This window comes from Homo sapiens, chromosome 15 (assembly GCF_000001405.40).
Source record: "Homo sapiens chromosome 15, GRCh38.p14 Primary Assembly".
NCBI lineage: Eukaryota > Metazoa > Chordata > Mammalia > Primates > Hominidae > Homo > Homo sapiens.
In genome coordinates, this window is record NC_000015.10 from 61,005,890 (window position 1) to 61,028,016 (window position 22,127).

Genomic DNA, 22,127 nt, shown 5'->3' on the forward strand with positions numbered 1-22,127 from the left:
CTCTGAAATGTTCATAGTCACCTCTTAGTGGTAGGCTTAGAGCCATATATATATATTTTTTGTTTGTTTGTTTTGTTTTGTTTTGTTTTGTTTTTTTTGAGAAGGAGTCTCGCTCTGTCACCAGGCTGGAGTGCAGTGGCGCGATCTTGGCTCACTGCAACCTCCACCTCCTGGGTTCAAGCGGTTCTCCTGCCTCAGCTTCCCGAGTAGCTGGGATTACAGGCAGGCGCCACCATGCCCAGCTAATTTTTGTATTTTTAGTAGAGACGGGATTTCACAGTGTTGGCCAGGATGGTCTCAATCTCTTGACTTCGTGATCTGCCCACCTCAGCCTCCCAAAGTGCTGGGATTACAGGCATGAGCCACCGTGCCCGGCCGTAATATTTTTTTTTTATTGTTTTGTGCTGTGTGTTTCATGATTTCTACAGTGACCATGTATTTCTTTTGCAACTAAGAAAAAACTGCAATTAGCTTCTCTTTTGAGATGTTATTCTGATTATGATTATCTTCTGACTCGTTGGAACTCAGAAGGTGTCAAGAAGAGGGAGAAAGTAACTAACAGATAATTTTCCCCTGGGTGTACTCTGAAGCCCAGGAACAGCCACTGGGAAAAGTCTGCCCATGTGCCCTGGGAAAGGTCACTTGACTCCATGAAGTGACAAATAAAAGTGATAATGCATGTGTTAATAAAAACACCTGCTGCACACAATCCATGCTGTTGCTCCTTCCTCTGCCAGCCTCTGAAAGACACCAATTCCAGCAGTGGTATTCTCCAGACTCCCCATCAGACACAGTTGGAATTTTCTCAGGAAAGACCATGAACTTACAATCAAAGGGAAATACATTCTGCCTGAAGAATGCATTATCAGTGCTCACTAGATGCAACTGACTGTCCCTACTCTCGTAAGTTCTAACTCCCTTTGAATTATTGTCCTTGGTTTTTGGAGCTTATTTCTATCTCTATTACAGGGGTTTTCAAACTAGAAAATGTATCCTCTTGAAGTGTCACAAAAATCCTTCCTAGAATTATATGGACATAGATAATTCTAAGGAAATTAAATTCCAGAATCTCAATTTCCCGGAGTCTTTCCTAAATGTGTCTGATAATGCATTTGTGGTTAAGAGGTCATGCCAGTTTACTCATCTCTCCATTTACAAGCTTGCTTCTCTTACCTTCAAGCAGAAAGACATAATTTTCACCTATGGCAAATCTATTATAACTGCCTGTCCAGGGCTATGAACACCATTGGAGTTCTTGCCCCAGAAAGGACCAATTTGATATAGGGGTTAAAAGTAAGCCTTCTATAACCAAGACATTATAAATCCAAGGTAGGTGGTTGGTTGTTTTGGGTGTATAATTCAGAGGTTCAAAATGGAAATGACCTTGCTCTAATGAAACTCTGTTCCCATCACATAATTGATAGGCAATGTTTCTCACCATTTATATGATACGGACTAAAACAAGGAATGGAATTGATATTGAACCCTTGGCAAAAATAACATTCATCCATAGGTAAAAAAACTAATTGGAAATAAAGAACCATCCATCTCATTAAGAAATATATTTCTAATAGACATTAACTTCTATATTTAATAATTGTTTATTGAAATGTTCAATACGTTTGTGTTGTTTTGATCAAATTTGTTCTAAAAATCACTGTAATGATAAATCAATCTAGAAGATTTAAAAAATTACCTATACCTTTACGGTCATAGGATTTAAAAAATTTATTTACACATATTTTTATTACAAAGGATTATGACAGCATGATCAATGAAAGATTTTTAAGCATAAAAATATATAACATTAGGCTAATGTTATATAGGCTAATATTATATATTTTATATAACATTAGCCTAATGTTATATATTATATATAACATTAGGCTGTTATATATTTAACATTAGGCTGTTACATATATAAAAAATATTACATATTTATATATATAACATTAGCCTAATGTTATATAAAATATATAACATTAGGATAAAATTAGGATAATAGAAATTATCCTAATAGAAAATTAGGATAAAAGAAAAAAGATGTAGAAGTTTTGGGTATCAAAAAAGAGCTTGTTCGTGTATTTCTTTAAAAAATGAATGACAGCAAACATTTACACCAAAATAGTATTTAGATTTCACTAGATACATTTCAAAAGTGACAAGTTTTATTTTTAAATGTAAATATTTATAAAATGCCAGAAATTAAATCCTCTGCTATTGAACTATTTAAACTTATGATAAAAAAAATTTAAATGTCAAATTTTGGATAAACATGTGGAGGTATAAAGAATTTCAAAATTCTCTCTCTCTCTGTGTGTGTGTGTGTGTGTGTGTGTGTGTGTGTGTGTGTGTAGTAAATGAACGACAAAAAATGAAACCCACTGTCTAATGCATCTCATGACTATTCTTTTTCCTCCATGGGACCCAAGAATTTACTTTATTGGGTTTAAGGGGGCTAATGAAAATATTTGATTTAGCTCTCTAAAGAGATCTGGCCATATTCCAGCTGCACCCACAAGCCAGGTATATCAGCTGGGTCTCTCGAGCAGGTGATCAAGAACGCATGAACAGGAATGAGCACAGGTCAGCCCTGAGGAAGAGGGTCATGTCTGATACTGGGCTGTTCCCTGAGGGGTGGAATCAATTTGACTCACAGAAGGAAAGGAAAACTAAACTTTCCACCTGTGACTTATAACTACAATCAGGTCATTTATGCTATCATTTCCAAGAATGGAAGAAATCCTATGGAAAAAAATGCGCATGTAGATGGAATTCTTTTCCTTTGTACACATTTGACTTACCCCTTTTTAATGCCTTTTACTTGATTCCATTAGAAAAAAAAATCCACAACTGAGTACACTATGCTTTAGAAAAGCTGCATACATATACCCACTCTCAAACAATGAAAATGACTTGGAAATTAATGATGTTGATGTAGAAAAATTGCAGGAACAGGCATACTGCTTTTCTTCCTCTCTGCTGACTCTGACCAAGGGCAACTCCAAGGATAGAAAGTTATCCATTTGATGAAATTAGAAAGACACGGGGCATAGAAAGGGTCAGGTCCAGCCACTTACCACCTCTGATAGGATAAACATCCTATCAGAGTCTCGGTTTCCTTATCTTTAAGGTGGACTTTAAAACAGACACCTTGCCTACTGCTTCACAAGACTGCTGTGAGTAGCAAATACAAATGCGAATCTGAAAGAATGTCATATGCCATTAGTGATTCATCACTTTGAGTATTAACAGCTCTTCAATGCCATCGCTGTTAGAAGAAGAAACTTGGTGTTCTCCATCCCCTTCTTGGTCCTGATGCTGCCTTTCTTTCCCTATAAAAGTAGCCCATTCCGGGGGAGGGATGGGTAGGAAAGTTGCCATGGATTTTATTAAGATAGAGTAAAAATTTATTATAGGAAGGATGCACATTTCAACAAAAGCTTAGGGCTTGCAGCCCTCGTTTCACTCTAATGAAAGAAACTGCCACAACTCTGGGCATAGTCCTATGCTTAAACAACTGTGTTTAGCTTGGTGGAAATACACCAAGATGAAAGATGTCCACCTTGATTCATCCGTACGATACAGGAAAGAAAATCTGGCAAATTAGAAAGACATGGGGCATAGACTGTCTATTTATACCTATAAGGTCAAGACTAATCTTTAATTTTAATTCAGATAGATCGTCTTAATGAAGCTGTTAACAACAGTGAGAAATGGAAACATCTGATTTGTCTTGACTACGCTTAGACCTCACAAATCTTGAACTACAATCCACAGAATCAAGATCACTTAACACTTACTTAAACTGATTTCTGTAAGTAATGTCAAAGCTCTATCCTGAGGTAAAATATTATTAGTCCTGACATGATTAACCTGGGCAATTGACACATAAAAAGGATCTTAATCCATTAATTTGCTAATTGGTGTTCATTACTTTGGACATGGGCTTCGACATGTCAGCCTAGTGTTCATCTGTAGGAAATAAAGACCCAAACAGGGTATGCAACTGTGCAGATCTGACTGCAGCTTGGAAAAAAAATTGGAGTCTTCAAATTCTCTGAACATGAAAATGAAAAACACAACTAATAAACAGTTGTGTTGCCTTTTCTTCTTTGCCCCCAACTGTACTGCTTCATTTTTAACATATGTTTAACTGCTATTTTTTATTAAACTCATATTTAGGCAGGGAGGAACAAGCTTACCACATATGCTTTGGGTTATATGCTAACTATTCCTTGTCAGATGGTGAGTTAAAAAGAAAGACACTGGAAGAGTAGAATTAAATGTAAATCTGCCTTATGAAAATCCCTAGCTTTTGAGAGGAAACACTTCTATTTGAGAGAATTTGGGACAGGTAATTTTTCAGGGCCCCCTGGGACTTGAATCTAATACTATCATACAGAGGTTCTGTTTCAGGTAGAGTCATCTTGAGTCCCATCTGAGATGTCCCTGAAGTGCTAAAAATCATCCCTTTAAGAATCCATATCTAAGACGGTCCATATCCTAGACCCTATTCTTGGCTTATAAAGTTGTAGTGAAAATTAGTGACCTTGGTCATATTAGGACTTAGTTGCAAGTACTCTCTATCGAAGAAACAAAAGGCTGAGAGATCGATCACCTGGTCTGGCCAATTGTATGAATGCACAGGCATACAATCCAAACATCCCAGGGGTGTGGAGCTTCCATTCACCAGAACTGACCAGGAAGGGGAGTGTTCACTAGCAGATTATAGAAAACATGATTTTAATGTGCCCTCTCTTCAATATTTACTGTGATCCCTTGTGCCTCAGTTTTCCTACCTCTGAAATGGAAATAAAAACATCAATGAAGTCATATTAGGACTTAGTTGCAAGGGGGTGCTGTGTTATGCCCAGTGGACAATAAGAACATTGCATGACTTTAGAACCTGGAGATGAGGACTGTTGGCTGGGAGTACTCAAATAAATTTACTCCCTCAGGTTCTTCCCTCCTATTTCTACTTACATCAATGAGCCTGGTTCCTTGGTTCTGTTCTGCTGTTATTCCAAAACTCTCAGATTCCATGCATATATATTGATTAAGCCAAGCACATTTCAACTACATCATGTCACCTAAACATCGTGTAAGGCTTATATGATTATTACTTCATGATATAAAAAGATTCTGATGAAGTCAAGTGCGAAGGCAAAGGTCATTTAAGCAAAGGCAGAGGTAGGAACTGAACCCATATCTTCTGATTCCAAATCCAGCTTTCCTCCCACCCCCCTCATTCAACTGCACACACTTCTGGCTTCTTGTCATTTCCTTCCTCTCTCCATTTTGTATTTCTTTCCTTTTCCTCCACCATCTGCATCTTCTGCATTCTCTTCCTTGATCCATTCTCTCATGAGATCCATTATCTCATCACTCAATCTGTTTCTCTTCTATAGAACTGCTATTAAAGTTCCTGAATTCTAAGACAATTTTCTTAGAAGGATAGAAATGTGGGAAGGAACTCTAATAATGATATCCTAAAACTAATGATGTTAGGACTAATAAAATGACAAAAGTTTTGCTTTTGTTGTTTGATTTTAAATGTATAAATCTCACTTTAGGTATCTGTGAGCATAGTTGGCTTGAAAAAACAAAACAAAACAACAACCTGTAATCCAAAGAGGAAACACAGTGCCGTTTCCTTTGATTTTCTCAAGGGAGATATTGGCAAAATACTCTCATGGAAAGCGTATCTGCAAAAGCTTTCCTACGCATTAAAAAAAAAAGGAACATAAAAAGTATTAGCTATTTGACACTCATAAAGCAGACTGAATTACTCTAGGCATTGCTGGGTACCTGGCATTTACTACAGTCACTTGAGCTATTTTGATTTATGAGGGTTTAGCCCTCAAGCAGGTTAGGTTTAACTAAACTTGCTACCAAGTGCCCACTTAAGGATTCTTTCAGCAAACAAGAAGAAATATTCTTCACTTAGAGTTCATGCCACCAAGCCTCAAGCTTCACTAGTAATGAGGCACTCATTTCCAGAGAGCTTGCGCTCTGTTTTCTCCACAGCTTCCCTCAATTTACATCTCTATCAAAGAAACAAAGAGCTGAGAGATCACCTGGTCTGGCCAATTGCATGAAATGCATGGGCATGCAATACAAACATCCCAGGGCTGTGGAGCTTCCGTTCACCAAAACTGACCAGGAAGGGGGGTGTTCACTAGCAGATTATAGAAAACATGATTTTGATGTGCCCTCTCTCCAATATTTACTGTGAGGCTCTGTGCCTCAGTTTTCCTACCTCTGAAATGGAAATAAAAACATCACCTATCTCATAAGATTGTTTGGAGGATTAAATGAATTAATTCAAGCATAGCATGTAAAACATGTGCTAGAAGATGATATTAAGTATGCAGTAAATTTAGCTAATACTATCAACGCTTTCCCAATTTGTTCCTATAGGGCACCCAAATTGGTACAGTAATCTTTGCTGACAACCTTCCTCCCCATCACAAGTCTCACAAACACTAACTTGTTCCTCTTGCCTTATTCTCTCTCAATCCTACCCTTTGCTAGTCAAAATTAAGTTCTAACAAGACAACTGGACAGATGAATTTGTAAGCCACCTAAGGTATTTTCTCTCCCAGGGAAAGGAAAACTATAATTCAAACAAAATTCATGTCTCAGAAAGATTCTTAAGCAATCACTTTAATAATAGACTTGTAGGTTAGCAGATAAATGTTTTTTTGATCAAATATCCTTTCTCAAGTGCCTGGCAAACATTGTTTCACTAAACCAAGTTATCACTTTTTTTTTTGAGACAAGGTCTCATTCTGTCACCGAGGCTAGAGTACAGTGGTGTGATCTCAGCTTACTGCAGCCCAGACCTCCAGGGCTCAAGCAATCCTTCCACCTCAGCCTCCTGAGTATCTGGGATTACAGGCACACACCACCACACCTGTCTAATTTTTGTAATTTTTGTAGAGATGGAGTTTCACCATGTTGCCCAGGCTGGTCTTGAACTCCTCAGCTCAAGTGATCCGCCTGCCTTGGCCTCCCAAAATGCTGGGATTATAGGTGTGAGCCACCGCGCTCCCAGCCTCATCTAACTTCTTGATTCATCTGCTCCCAATTTTAATTACAATCACAGGCAAATGGTATCTTGGGATGACAAACTTCCCTGAAATCTTTCTGGGTACATGTCTTCAATTTACTTCATGGAGCACCAAACTATAACCACAGAAAGTGAATTCTCGTTCCAGACACATTGTTTATTCATTCAGTTGCATAGGATAAGTCACTTTACTTTTCTGAGCCTCAATTTTCTCATCTGAATAATGGAAACGATAATATGTATTCACATAACCACAGCTTGAGAACCAAATCCAGCTCGTCACATCTTCTTGTAAATAGAGTTTTATTGGATCACAGTCATGCCCATTTGTTTATGAACTGCCTCTGGCTGCTTTTGTTGCGGAGTTGTGACAGAGACCGCATGGCCCATAAAGCCAAACATATTTAACTATCTAGCCCTTTACAGAAAAGTTTGCTGACTTCTGCTCCGGATGACTGCTGTGAGAAACCAGTAAGACAACTGACAGGGAAGTGCTTTGTTACCTGCAAATACTGATGTAAAATGTGAATCTTTATTATTGCCTTTTAGATGTCTACAGGATTAGTGTGTCGCTCACCCTGTAGCTGCATTCTTCCTAGCTAAGCAATCCCAAACACCTTGAGCCTGTTACCTATTAGGCCAATTTAAAAAATTTCTCTTGTTGCCTTTGTTGTTGGGTGGGGTATTTTTGGACTTGCTCCAGTTTCTCCTATTCATTTTTCTTTTAAATTTTAATTAATGTATAGTATACTGGAAAGGTTATTATCTGGTTCTCAAGTAAAGTCTCAGTTACTATAGCCAAGAACTGGGTTGGCTTTTTTTTTTTTTTTTTTTTTTTGGAGGGTGTCTCGCTCGGTTGCCCAGGCTGGAGTGCAGTGGCGCAATTTCGGCTCACTGCAAGCTCTGCCTCCCGGGTTCACGCCATTATCCTGCCTCAGCCTCCCGAGTAGCTGCGTCTACAGGCGCCCGCCACCACGCCAGGCTAATTTTTTGTATTTTTAGTAGAGACAGGGCTTCATCATATTAGCCAGGATGGTCTCGATCTCCTGACATTGTGATCTGCCCGCCTCGGCCTCCCAAAGTGCTGGGATCACAGGCGTGAGCCACCGCACCCGGCCGGGTTGGCTTTTTAAATAACAGCTCTGTAATGAAGTACTCTTGGTCAAGTAGATACAGCAGGATCCAAAACCAGTTAAATCACTAACTGTGAACATTTGAGCAAATTATTTACCCTCTCTCGGCCTCAGCTTCCACATCTATAAAATGAGAGCACAAATTATACACAGCTTTGAGAGTTACTGTTGAGATTATTACAGTGTATTTGTAAGCAAGCTGACTTATGCAAAATGCCTGGCACATAGTAGGTCCTTAGACAAGGCTGCGGATGTGGCTTCCTCATGTCCTTGACAGAGAGACACTTTTCCATCACAATCATGCCCAGATGATTTTAAAATTGTGAGTCCGTCTATTAGGCATAAGTATCCTACCTTACATTTGTCCCTATTGAACTTCAACTTGCTTTTGATTTATTGAGGTCACTTTGACTTCTATTCCTGTCTTCTAAGGAGTTAGAATTTATGCTCTTCTGAATTTGTATTCTGTGAACCTCATTTCCAAAGGATGAAAGAATAAGAGAAAATACAGGTTAACTAGGGTCATAAGGCTAGCTGTCTAAGGCAAAATTAAGTGTAGATTTGACACAATTATTCAAAACCCAATATGACAAAATGTTTTGGCTGTAACTATCTAAGCCTTAAGAAAAAAAATACATTTTCCTATCAATTTTTCACTTCACACTGCTAACACAGACGAAGCCAAAGGGGTAGAAAGACAAATGGGTGGTCAAAATTAACAGCATGCTTAGGGAACAAGGAATAGGGAACCTGCGACTTTCCTCCCTGGCAAGCTCTCCCTGATTTTTAAATGCTTCTGCCTTACCAAGGTTTGTTTTGAGAGTGTTTTTAATCTGAGATATTTTATCTGCTAAAACCTTATTTTTTCTGCTCCATTTTCTGCATTTTCCTCCAGCATCTTTGATTCTCAGCATTTACAGCAAGCACCGGATCTCTCCTATAGCCCGAAGCTCGTTAAACTACCGCAAAATAAGATATAAGCACCTCATTAATTACCATCAGCAAGAGAATTAGTGTGCCTATCAATAAATATTAAAGTTGCACATTCTATCTCTAAAGAATGAACTTGCCATGCACAGGTACCGGATGCCTTCCCACCTGAGACAGATCTCAATCACAGAAGACAAGGAAAGCCCTGGCGGCAGATTCTATTTTAATCCAAGGATTTGGGGAGGGACTTTCCTGCCAACTAAGGATTAGTTCTTTTCCTTAGAGCCTTGTGACTTTGAAAACCAGCTAAAAATGCATATCAAAATGTAAAATGCCTAAATCAGCATTGTGGGAATCATTTAAAATATACTGACAAAGCTGCTCTTATAAGTTGAGATATTAATTCAAAATTTTTAAGTAAAAAAAATTAATTACATTGAAATACACAAAAAAAAATGTTTGGAAGAAAGGCCTTTTGCTCACCTGCAATTTCTAATTTTCCAATAACACAATAATTATACTAGTTCATATTTATTGAAGTTATTATGTAGAAGACGCTGTATTGAGAAGCGTAGGTGCTCATCTGTTCACCACCACAATGCCATGAAGTCTGTGCTATTATTATTTTACTCACCAAAAATGTGGGGCTTAAAGAGATTGAGCAACTTGCTATAGATCACAGATCTGTTTTTAAAAATCAGCTGCATACATGGGGGAAAGAACACCAAACAATTCTAAGAATATGCTCCAAATGATACAAAATTATATACCTGTAAAAGAGCTTATTGCAGTCTTAGGTTGCATTAATTGAAGAAGATGGTCCAGGAAAAAGGAGGTAATGACCTTGCCCAAATCCTTGGACCTCAGAATTCCTCCAGGGGTCTGTTTTCAGTATGATGAACACAGTTTACGTGGAATATGGATAAACCAGGGGGAACGTGGCCAAGACGACCGGAGGGCTTGAGTCATGATATCGGAGAGATGACTGCAGGAACTAGCAGTGGCAGCCTGGAAACAGAAGAGTATCAGGCTTTGTGAGAGACTGTAGACGGTGTAAAAACAAGAACATTAGCTGGGCTCCAGTTTCCCCTTTTTCTCTCATTAGTACCACAATGTAGAGTGAGTTATTTAACCTCTCTACATCTCAGTCTTCTCATCTCTAAGACGGTGCTAATAATGGCACTCTGCTTCATACAGTTCTTGAGGGAATTTAGATGAGATAATACAAATAAAGCACTGACCATTGCACCTGGCATTCGAGAAGCTCCTAGCAAATGCTAGCCACTAATATTATGGTTGCCGTCATCATTGCTTCTGTGGTTCTTAAAATAGAATGGTGATTTCCAAAATCACTGCAGAAAATGGTCTCCCAGGATAAACAGGTGGCATGCCAACAAAGACTTCATGGTTCCAAAGGTTTGGGAAATACCAACTTAGAGAAAGTTAAGCAAGATTTGTACTCTGTGCATGTGGCTCTCCAAGAAGAGGTAAAGTATATAACAATTCCCAGCTGTGTTTGGTTAGGATCATTTTTAAAGAACACTCCTTGGAAGGAGTGTGTTCTACGAGCTTTGGGTCCCATGACCACAGACGAGTCTACATCGTCATAAGCTACGCCCATCATCTGATGTGGATGAAGCACACCCCAGAGAATCTGCCCGGAGGTTTCGCGACCCATAAGGAGTAAAGAATAGCTGAATGTGGTGAAATGGGGAGACAAGTCACTGGGCAATTAGAAGTGTGAAAATGTGCCTCGTTGGACACAGGGTATGAGGCAAGCAGAGAAAACTGGTGGAGTAGTCCCCCTGGTAAAAGCTTACTTTTAAAGTAAAATGGCCCAGATAAACCTGATTTCATTAAGTGAGACCTGGAAATAAGGTTGCCCCATATATACTCAGCCGAAGACGTATGAATGAATAAAGAAATGAATGAATATTTTTATTCCAAAGTTACCCACTTTCCTATAAAACATATCATAAAAGTCACACCATTATTATTATTATTATCATTGATTACCATTACAGTTAAAATTATAAACAACATCCAAACGAATATCACCTGAGCCTTTCTTTTCCAAGTTGAATATATCACATAAAGCAGGCTCTTTTGATTCCTACGTTTTTATTTATTGGCTTAACCTCCAGGGCTCCATTGGAATAAGTAACACTACATGAAAACAAGTTCCAAATGTGAGAGATTCAACAGAACCCAGGACAGGCTTTGTGTAGACATGGATTTTCACATGCTTATTCAAAATATTTGCTGTCAACGGTACTTGGTGAAAGTGATTGTTACATACAGCATGGCTAACTTTTTTATGTAAATGAAATGCAAATGTATGCAATGTTATCTTTAATGCAGATGTAGCAGAAAGTATTAAGATATGCTGAGAGCCTAATTAGGTCCTACATCAAAAACTATACATAAACTTGACTCCAATATCTCAAGAACACAAATTGAGTCTAGAAATCCCAGTTTGCAAGCTTAAAAAAAAGATGTACATATATATTTTAAATCACAGTTCTTTTTCTTTTCCCTTCTCTAAGTCTGAACACTTGAAAGGATGATCTTGGACAGATATTTCAGCGTGGGGGAGGGGGTGTGGAGTGGGTGGGAAATGAACAAGTTTCTTTCTAACAAAAACCAGGAAGCAAGAAGAGAAAATCAGCCACGAGCCCCCCAAAAAGGCAAAACAAAGCTGTCTTGTGCTTTCCATTTTCATATGAAAAATGATGACGTGCCACAAAGCATATTTTTGCATTTATTTCCATTTCTAACCTTCCTGGAGACAAACACATGTGCATTCCTTCCTAATCGCTGTTACAGTAAAACCTTATGAACTCCAGGTCCACTAATTCTCCATGTTGATCCTTCTGACGGGGTGAGCGGAAGTTTACCTTTATTTAAGGAGTGAAAGGGTTGACAAAACAAATAAATATCATAAAAAGCATTGCAGCATGCCTGCTCAACCTACATGACATAAGCTCTTCTTAAGCACTTAGAAGCACTGTTCATATAGAAAACTATTCAACTGTCTTTTCTATTTACTACAATAGATCCTCCAAAAGAATGCTCCTATGTGATACTTTGTTAGCCCCTTATAATTTACTATGCATAGTAGAAAAGTGATAAAATGGAACATCTTCGTAATTGTCCATAATCCAGGCTCCTTACTAATTCTGAGGAGTCTTGCCTTCTGATTCCTCAGCAAAGTGTAGTAGGCTTAGAGTGGCAAGTACCGGGGGCCTCTCCTGGGCTCTAGCTGTGACTTGCTCTGTGTCCTTGGACAGCTCAGTGGCTTCTTTCCTGCTAGTTTTATGGGGCTTTTCTTTCCCCATTCACATTCTAAAATTGCTTTGGGAATCAAAATAGAAAAAAAAGGATGCAGAAACAATCAGAAAAGTATGGAAAGTACTTTATAAATGTAAGGTGTCACTGGTCTCTAAATTGTGAGGGCGTGTGGGAGCGTATGTGTATGTGTAGTGTGTAGCGTAGTGAAAAACTCCACATGCACAGGCATATATATATTTGGATTCATAAATATTTACAGGTGTATATACATCTGCATGCATGTATATACGGAGCATGCATGTATATACTGCATGCATGTATATATTGTACTGTGCTCATATATAACATGTGCATAGGTACTCATGGATAAGTACAGATGTATATATGACTATACTGACCTCAGAGCAATCATACATATAACACATATGAGTACGTATGTATATGATGATATACTCAAATATACACACATATATTGACACATAACAGACACACATCCTCATAAATGGTAAGGATGTATATGTCTATCTCTGCCAAGGCACACATTAAATGTGCATATATCTGAGCTAATTAACCTGTGCACCTTGCCACAGAGAGTACCTGAAATGGCCCAAGACAAAATCTAGACCTACGTATCCAGGCTGAAGGGCTTAAAGCAAACAGAGCTTATCCAGCTCTATTCCCCTCTGAGTTTTCTTCCATCTTATCTAATACACCCTCTGAAAAGAAGGATCTTTTTTAGTTCTGCTAAGATCCCCAAATGCTCTTAACATCTCCAAAGCTCTCTAATACAAAAGGACCCAGTTGCTGCAAGGCACAAGAATTGCACTGGCTTCACAGCACCACAGAACATGCCCAGCGGAATACATTACACAGCGCTCCACGCAGCTCCTCTGAAATTGATATTGCTGGCATCACTCGCCCCAAATTTCTAACATTGTCATGATAACCCCATTTGTTCTCAGGAACTGCTTCCCACATTTTAAAGGAACAGAATTTTCCCCATGTCTGTCCTTCATCATGCCCTTTCTTTAAAGAAAAAAGAAAGTCTTCCCCTGGGTTCTTCCTCCATTTTGTGTAGTAATTCCTAGTGTTGTCAGTCGATGATTATCAAGTATATACCAAACATTATTTCCTGCTAATATACAATCTGTGCAATTTTAACCAGGCTTGCACCTCAAACTGAGGACAGTGGAAGGTTTTGTCTTCGTGCTAAATAGTTTGGTTCAGAGGATAATCGTTAGAGATGCTCAAAAGAGGTGGGGTTGTTCTGGGCTGGAAAAGTTAGTGAAGGGGGGGAAACCTGTCCTGCCCCACTCTCACCTTTTCCAGCACTCCCCTCAAAAGAGGAAACCATTCAGCTACTTCAAGTCTCTCACATCTGTACTTATCCATGGGTACCGTACCTTCATGCACCTTGCTTCTCCTCTGTGCCACTCTCCTAATGACCATCTTCCCTCCTGATGGGGTTCCTGATGTCGGCCTGACCACCTCTCCAATGGCTGGTCACTGACGGGGCCTGCCTGCCCCCAGAATTCACCTCCAAAGTACAGCATGCTCCTGGTTCCTTTGCCACTTCTCAAAAAGCTTCTTCTGATTTCTGCTCCGACACCAACTTCCCGTCCTCTGACCTCCGCTCTTCTCTCTCTGTATCCTTCACCACCACCCTTCAGCATTAACCACTGAAGGAATCACTAACCTCTCTCAGAGGCTCCAGATTCACATTTGCAAGTGTCTGCTGGACATCATCACAGAACGTCCCTTTGTAGAGTATCAATGAAACCAGCTCTGAATGCTGCATCTTCCTTCCAAATCCTAATGTGGCTGCCACTGTCCGAATTTTGCAAGTTTGAAACGCTTCATATATGTCTTTCTGTTCCCTTCTCTTTAGGACTCCACATTAAGTCAGCATCTCAGTATCACCTCCACTTAGCTTCCCACCTCTGTCACTTAACATTCCATCCTCTCTCCTACTACTCAAGTTCAGACCATCCCACCTGCAGCCCAGGATGAAAGCACTCTCTTTGCCCCAGAAGTAGCTAGCATCTTACCATGGAAAGCATGCACACAATGGGGAAAGAAGAGCCAGGATTCTAGTTCGGAATTGCTGCTTCTTCGCAAACAGACTTTGGGCAGTGACTCAATACTTTTCAGGCCCAATATTCACATCTCTAAAATGTGAATGAGGCTCTTTTCTTATTGTTTATTGAAGATAATGATGTCTGGCTATTGTTACAACAACCAAGGCTTCCCTTCTCCAATCCAGATGCTTCCAAAACCTTCACCCTCAGAGAGACTGATCAAAGAATATCAACAAAAGGCCCTTCACATCTTTATTTTGAAAAGTATCCCAGGCAATCTTGGTGCACTATTAGATTTTGTAGTCTCTGCTCTAATCCATCATTGAACTTGAAGCTGGAATTCCCTTCCTAAAGCATAACTCAAATCACATTATTCCCAAACTGACAAAACTTCAAGGGCCCCGTATAATTTCCTGAGGACATTTTAGGCCCCTCATCTATCTTTTCTCCTTCCCAAATGGTAACAGACCTTTGTGCTGAATTAGGCTATTTATTGCTGCCTCTCAGTTATGATGAATTCAATTGTATCAGAAACTCAACTGACAGTGGCCTAAACAACTAAGCATTTACTTTTTTCCACATAACGTGAATTCTGGGGGCAGATGGCTTTGTGCTTTGCTTCACTGGTTGTACAAGGTCAGGGATCCGGGCCACAGTTGGTAACTCTCTTGGTCCTCCCCTCAAGGTGGGGAGATGACAGTAGCAGCTGCGGCAAGCACCAAGTTCACACCTGTGTTCCAACGCTGGGGACGGGAGAGGCCTGCAAAGAGAGGTCCTCCTCAACGCCCCCTCTCTAGTCTATTGGCCATAAATGGGTCACATGGCTACAGGGGAGGCTGGAAAAGTGACTGCGATGTTTCAGCCTCTATAGTGGGAGACTAGAAAGGCAGAGGCTCCGTGAATGACTATGAGTAACCAATTATTAGAAAACCCTAAATACACCGTCAGTATCACTGCCTAAACTTAGAATTGTCCTTTTCCAAACCTGTGTCTGTTTAAGTGATTATAGCTAACATTCAGTAAGTGCTTGCTATAGGCCAGGCAGTGCTTCAAATGCTTTATGAGTATTAGTTCTTAATATTTACAATAACTCTGAGGCAAGAGGATTATTCTAGCAATCGTACAAGTGAGGACATTGAGGCTGATCAAGGTTCAAACACAGGGAACCTGACCCTGGATCCCACACTCCTAGCCACAGAACAACACTGCCTCTCAAGGAACAGCTTAAGCATAAATCTTCTCCATGAAGAGGATCTTGCCTGCAATCCCCGGACCAGATGCACAATTCTCTTCCTTAAAATCCTCTGATGTACTTCTCCTATGGTGAGGGCAATGATATAATCCAAAGTAGGGCATGTCTGAGATGCACGGAAGCACTATCAATAATTACAACAGGAAAACACACTGTCCTATGCAAACAGGGATGTATGAACATCCTACCTGCGGTTCTAGCCTCCAGGAGAGTGCTTGTGTACACATCCAATTTCTTCTTACTGGTGCACTGGGATTTTGAGGGCGGGCACTATACATGAATGGTATATCACCTGGATGGGCTTCATATGGTGCTCTGCTCAGAATAAGTGCCCTTGGTCAAATAGCTATGTGCTGACCCAAGGGAGCCTTGAAAGGCTGACAGGATGTACTTACACAAGGGACTACAGGGTGGCATCTGTAAAGAGTGGGAAAGGTGAAGGCTCTAAATCAGATTTTGCCTGAATTCAAATGCTAGGTCAACCATTTGCAGGCTCTATGATTTGGGACATTTTACTTCACGACTATGTTGACTGAGTTCTCCTGTCTATAAAATCATGATAACAAAATAAATTTCCCTACAGGGTGTTTGGGACCACTGAGTGAGCTAATTGCATGTAAAATGCTTGACAAAGAAAGACTTCAAATTTAGGCAGCTATTAATTAATACAAACATGTTCATTAATTTGTGGGAAAAAATGTATATGAGTAGAACGGGGCACGGCAATTGTGTCACATGCTAAGGTACCGCAGGAAGATAAGTTTGGATTGTGTGTGTGGCTGCTGGGCTTGACCTTATAGGCACCATCTTTTTCCCAATGCTTTTAAGAACAGAGCTCAAAGTTCAGAGTGCCATCTTTGTTTTCATGCCAGTATTTTCAATGGTGCACACACAGACACACATTCTGTTGATGCAAAATCTGCTATGGACTGGGATGGGGTCATATTCAGAGCCCCGCCGTGATAAATAAGACTCCTTTCTGTACTTTTGTGCTTTCTTATTTCAAAAGTGGGTAAAAATGTGACCCCCTAGACACATTGTGGCAAAGAGTGTACAGATTTAAGTAAAATGGTTAACTGAGAGTTAACTGGTTAATTCTATTCTAAAACACGTTTGTGGTTTTGCTGTCTGGAGGTAGAAGAAAATGGTAGGTTGAACATAAATGCAGGTTTGCATCTTGTCTTTGGCTCCTCAGGTAAGAGATGCAGGGAGGCAGCAGTATCCCTAGTGGTAATCAATGTTTAAGAACTGACAGGCCGGGCACGGTGGCCCACACCTGCAATCCCAGCAATTTGAGAGGCCAAGGTGGGCAGATCACTTGCGGTCAAGAGTTCATGACCAGCCTGGCCAACAAGGTGAAACCCCGTCTCTACTAAAAATACAAAAAAAATTAGCTGGGCGTGGTGGCGGGCACCTGTAATCCCAGCTACTCGGGAGGCTGAGGCAGGAGAATCGCTTGAACCCAGGAGGCAGAGGTTGCAGTGAGCTAAGATCCTGCCACTGCACTCCAGCCTGGGCAACAGAGTGAGACTCTGCCTCAAAAAAAAAAAAAAAAAAAAAAAACTGACAAAACTTGTATTAGTCCATTTTCACACTCCTGATAAAGACATACCTGAGACTGGGGAAAAAAAGAGGTTTAATTGGACTTACAGTTCCACATGGCTGGGAGGCCTCAGAATCATGGCAGGAGGCAAAAGACACTTCTTACACAGTGAGAGTAAGAGAAAAATGAGGAAGATGCCAAAGCAGAAAGTCCTGATAAACCCATCAGATCTCATGAGACTTATTCACTACCATGGCAATGGTATGGGGGAAACCACCCCCATGATTCAAATTATTTCCTACTGGGTCCCTCCCACAACACGTGAGAATTATGGGAGTACAGTTCCAGATGAGATTTGGGTAGGGACACAGAGCCAAACTATACCACTCAGCTTTTGCAGGGTTATGGAAAGGTGGGACAATCTCAAGATCAGTTAGAAACCTTTAAGACAGCAAACCTGTTGCTGGTGTTGCTGCAGTGTTCCAGGTAACAGCTTTGGATATTTTTGTCTAAGCATATTTGGGTTTCCTCTCATGTGAGTGGACACTGAAACAAATGAACTAGCTATGAAAGATGCACCTTTATTCATTGTAATCTCAATCCCAACTTCTTCCTTTTCATCATTTCACATGGGATGAGAGACCTTATCACACTGTCTTCATCAGTAGATAACTCCCACTAACTCAAGAATAAGCAGAAGTATCCAATTTGTATACACTGATATATAAAACCATGGTATTCTCCTACTTACTTTGATCAACCCCAATTTGGCATGTCCAGTTACTGCCCTGGGGACCCATTAAGAGTCTATGGAAACAAAAAATGCATGAACGAGTGTTGGGAGTTGATTACAAGTCCAACCCTCTATAAAGGCCACGGCATACTTCTGTTTATTTAATATGCACAACACCAAGAGAGAGAGGTAGTAATTCAGTCTGCTGGGTTTCTCCACAAAATCTACCCTAAGGACACCAGCATAACAGGGGAACAAGTCAAACTGGGGTGGAAATCAGTTGGTATTTAAAAAAATTATACAAGTAGCATTCATCCTAGGAAAAAGCAGAACTTTCTTGGATCTCTTTTTTTTTTTTTTTTTTTTTTTTGAGACAGAATCTTGCTCTGGTGCCAAGTGCCCACGCTGGAGTGCAGTGGTTCAGTCATAGTTCGGTGAGGCTTTCACCTCCTACACTCAGGTGATCCTCTCACCTCAGTCTCCCAAGTAGCTGGGACTGCAGGTGCAAGCTACCATGCCCGGTAATGTTTTTTTTTTTTTTTGAGATGGAGTCTCCCTCTGTCACCCAGGCTGGAGGGGGCAGTGGCATGATCTTGGTTCATTGTAACCTCCACCTCCTGAGTTCAAGTGATTCTCCTGCCTCAGCCTCCCGAGTAGCTGGGACCACAGGCATGCACCACCACGCCCAGCTAATTTTTGTATTTTTTGTGGAGACAGGGTTTCACCGTGTTGGTCAGGCTGGTCTTGAACTCCTGACATCACATGACCTGCCCACCTCAGCCTCCAAAGTGCTGGGATTACAGGCATGAGCCACTGCACCTGGTCCTGGCTACATTTTGTATTTTTTATAGAGATGGGAGTCTCCCAATGTTGCCCAGGCTGGTCCTGAGCTCTTGAGCTCAAGCAATCTGCCTGCCTCAGCCTCCCAAAGTGCTGGGATTAAAGGTGTGAGCCACCGCACCCAGCTGGAAATTTGTTAGACCCCTTTCCGCACTTGATGTTAGACAACAGACCTATAAGCAATTTTATATCTTCTGGCTTACTTTTTGTTTGTTTTGCTTTGGTTTTTGTATTTCATGGTTGGGAGCAAGGCAAAAGTGCCCCAAGGTTTTCGGTGTTTAAGATCTCCGAAGTTTTAGGCCCAGATCACATATCTAATGAATCAAACAGACAGGACGCAAACCCATGCCTCCGTGACCCAAAGCCCCTTCATGTATAAAATGATGAGCCAGGGTCAAGCTCCAGGATGCCCCTGAAAGTTCTAGCCATTCTTATGGCATAGCACTGTACACTGGGACATGACTTAATTTCTCCACAGGCTTCTCAAATCCTAAAACACGTCTCTGTCCACGCCTGAGGCTCGGTATCACAAAGCCTTGTGAAAACGCCTCTCCTGAGAGAACTTTCAGCCCCCAGACAGCCGCTCATTCCCTTCAAGGGCTGTGGTCCCAGGTCCCGGGCCCTAGCTGTGCTTCAGTGACATGATTCAGGAGAACCTCCTCCAAAGCAGCAGGGCAAACCCTGTTATTTTCTGGGAGCTGTTGTCCTTGAGTCATTACCTCACACTCTTAGAACTTCTTCCAGTTTCTAGAGATGAAAATGCGACTCAGACAGTCTTTGTGACTAAGGATAGAAGAGAATATAAGGGTGAACACAGGACACCTTGTGGACTGAGGACATAAGTTCGTAAAAGCTCCCTGGGCTGATGATTTTAATACAAAAGAGCCACCAGACACGGTTCTGAGTTTAAAAGTAGAAGAAATCTGGTCCAGTGTAAATCAAGCTTATTAACGTAAAGAATTAGTGCAGAAAAATTAAATGAGTGGATGAAGAAAAAAGTTTGGAAGGAAAAAATAATCCTCCTCACTACCTTTTACCAAATGAGCGTTGGCAACATGGGTTGGAGTTGCCTTTATGCACATAATTTGCCATGCCTACATTCTTTCAGGGCCTACAATAATGTTCCTAGCCATGTATTTGAATTAACCAGGCCCAGAGGATAAAACTTTCAAATTAAACACATTCCTAAAGGATTTCAGGCTCATTGTGTATGCACCAAGGAAACATAACATCCTAAAAATAATACGTACACAGAGAGAAGCACATTTTCCATGAACATTAAAGTGGAATATGAATTATGACCCAGCTCATGGGAATAGACATCTGATTACATGCAAAATGGAGCTTTTGTAAATAACATCAGTCTTCGTGAGCTACCACAATTATTATCAACCATTTAATTTTATTCCCTAGCAACTCATCCATCGTTGTTAAAACTGTCCACTTTTGTTTTTTACCTTCTGATGCATGAGGCTCCGAATTTTATAAAGTTCACCGTTAAAGCTATGTAGATTACCAGCCCAACAGCGAACGAGTTCACGAAATTATTAGATTCACCAAAGCATATGCTGCATTGTATATCTGCTATTTTGGGATGTATTTTGCTGGTGAATTGCTAGAAGCAGCAAAATTACAACGGTAGCCATTCTGTTCACTTTTTATACAAAGGAATCATGAAAATGTGTTTAAACTTTCGGTATTTGGGTATTTAAGTGCAAAGTGACTCTCAAGAAAATCAAGTATACTTCTTTCTGTCTCCCTGGCCTGCAATCTTTGACACTATTTTATGAAATACCATCCATAATTCCAGTTGGTCTATGTCATATATAATACGCCTGCCTCATAAGTAGTAAAATAAGCCACTTTGTGCCTTCACCAATTCTATTTCACAACAAAGTCAAGAGACATGTTTATTAATAGAACTAAACTTTTATTGATAGAAGTTTAAACAGGAATAGATGAAGGATGCTGCCAAATGCATCCTTTGCCTGTTCCTATTTTAAACTCAAAAACCAGACACAAGAAGTACCTATGGCTAATCTTTTGTTCTGGGAGAAGTTGCTAGGTGGCACCTCTGAACAATGCCTTTAACACCTTATGGGAGACCTGACCTCATAAAATACGTTGTATTTTCTTTCCCTTGAAATTCCATTTCAGTCAGAGGTGAGGATTTTCATTGGCTTCCAGAAACCTTTGAGTTTTAACTGCATCAGGAGTAAGCTTAGAAAGCCTCCTGGCCTGCAAAAAAAAAAAAAGCTGTTGAATTTCACCATGCAGCTTCAACAGCATTTATCATTGTAACTGAGCTGTATTTGGTTGAATTATAAAAGCCTGTTTGTTTATGTCTCTTCTAATGGAATATGAGCCCAGTGTGGGCGAGGGTCCATTACTATCATATTCATTTGCATGCGCCAATAGTATTAGTTGAATTGATATTCACTGAAATGAAGAGAGGACTATTTAAGGTGCGAATGCAAGTTTATATTTCTAGTAAACATTTTAACATTTTAGTCCCAATTTCATTTTAGTCTTGGCCTGAAAACGTATTAACTGGGAGGGCTAGCCATACCTTTCTATTGGAGCCATTCATTTGCCCATTAACACAGAAGAAGTAGAAGAAATGAAAGGGCAGAGGTGGCTTATTCTGTTTTTAGCATCTACTTTGTGTCAGACTTTGGCTCGGCGTTTTGTTTATTTTGTGTCATTTGATCCATAACTATACTACTGAGATTGACTGAATTATCCCCATCTTTAAAATTAGGAAACTGGGACTCAGGGAAAGTAAATAACATGCTCAACTAATAAATGGTGGGATCCAGATCTATCCAGCTCCCAAGCTTGGGCCACGTCCTCTGCTCTGTTACAACAAGTATGCTTTTACTCAGGCATCATCTCTAACTTTCTTCTTTAATTCTCTACTTTAAATCTTGCAATTAATAGGAGATCCTAGATCTGCCAAAATGGATAGATAGTACCTAAAACTATGGTGGTTAACATGTGATTTGAAGTTAGAAAAACTATGGGATAAAGGCCAAATTACATTTTCTCTCAAAGTCTCAGTTTACCAATCTGCAAAATGGTAACAGGCAATGTCTATCTCCCAAGGTGGCTAGGAGAAATAAATGACCTTACAAACCTAAAGCCCATAGCACTGTGAGTACCTAACCCACAGTAAGTGTTCCACGAAGGGTAGCTACTGCCATTATAGCTAACCACTTGTTCAAGCAAAAATATTTCTACCATAAATTATTT

The 22,127-nt window shown here is 40.1% G+C and overlaps 1 protein-coding gene and 1 long non-coding RNA gene across 14 annotated transcripts in view; both read right to left on the reverse strand.

Moving 5' to 3' along the window:
- Positions 1-22,127, reverse strand: part of RORA (RAR related orphan receptor A) — a 741,019-nt gene that overhangs the window by 517,606 nt on the left and 201,286 nt on the right. The window lies entirely within an intron of this gene.
- The window catches only part of LOC107984805 (uncharacterized), a 129,290-nt gene continuing 107,561 nt past the window's right edge, over positions 399-22,127 (reverse strand). For 6 of the 12 annotated variants that reach the window (XR_007064659.1, XR_007064658.1, XR_007064655.1 and 3 more), the window contains one exon: positions 7,212-21,113. This is a non-coding gene — a long non-coding RNA (uncharacterized LOC107984805). Of the gene's footprint in view, positions 21,114-22,127 lie in introns of all 12 variants that reach the window. The other 6 variants (XR_002957759.2, XR_002957761.2, XR_002957758.2 and 3 more) reach the window with 6 other exon arrangements.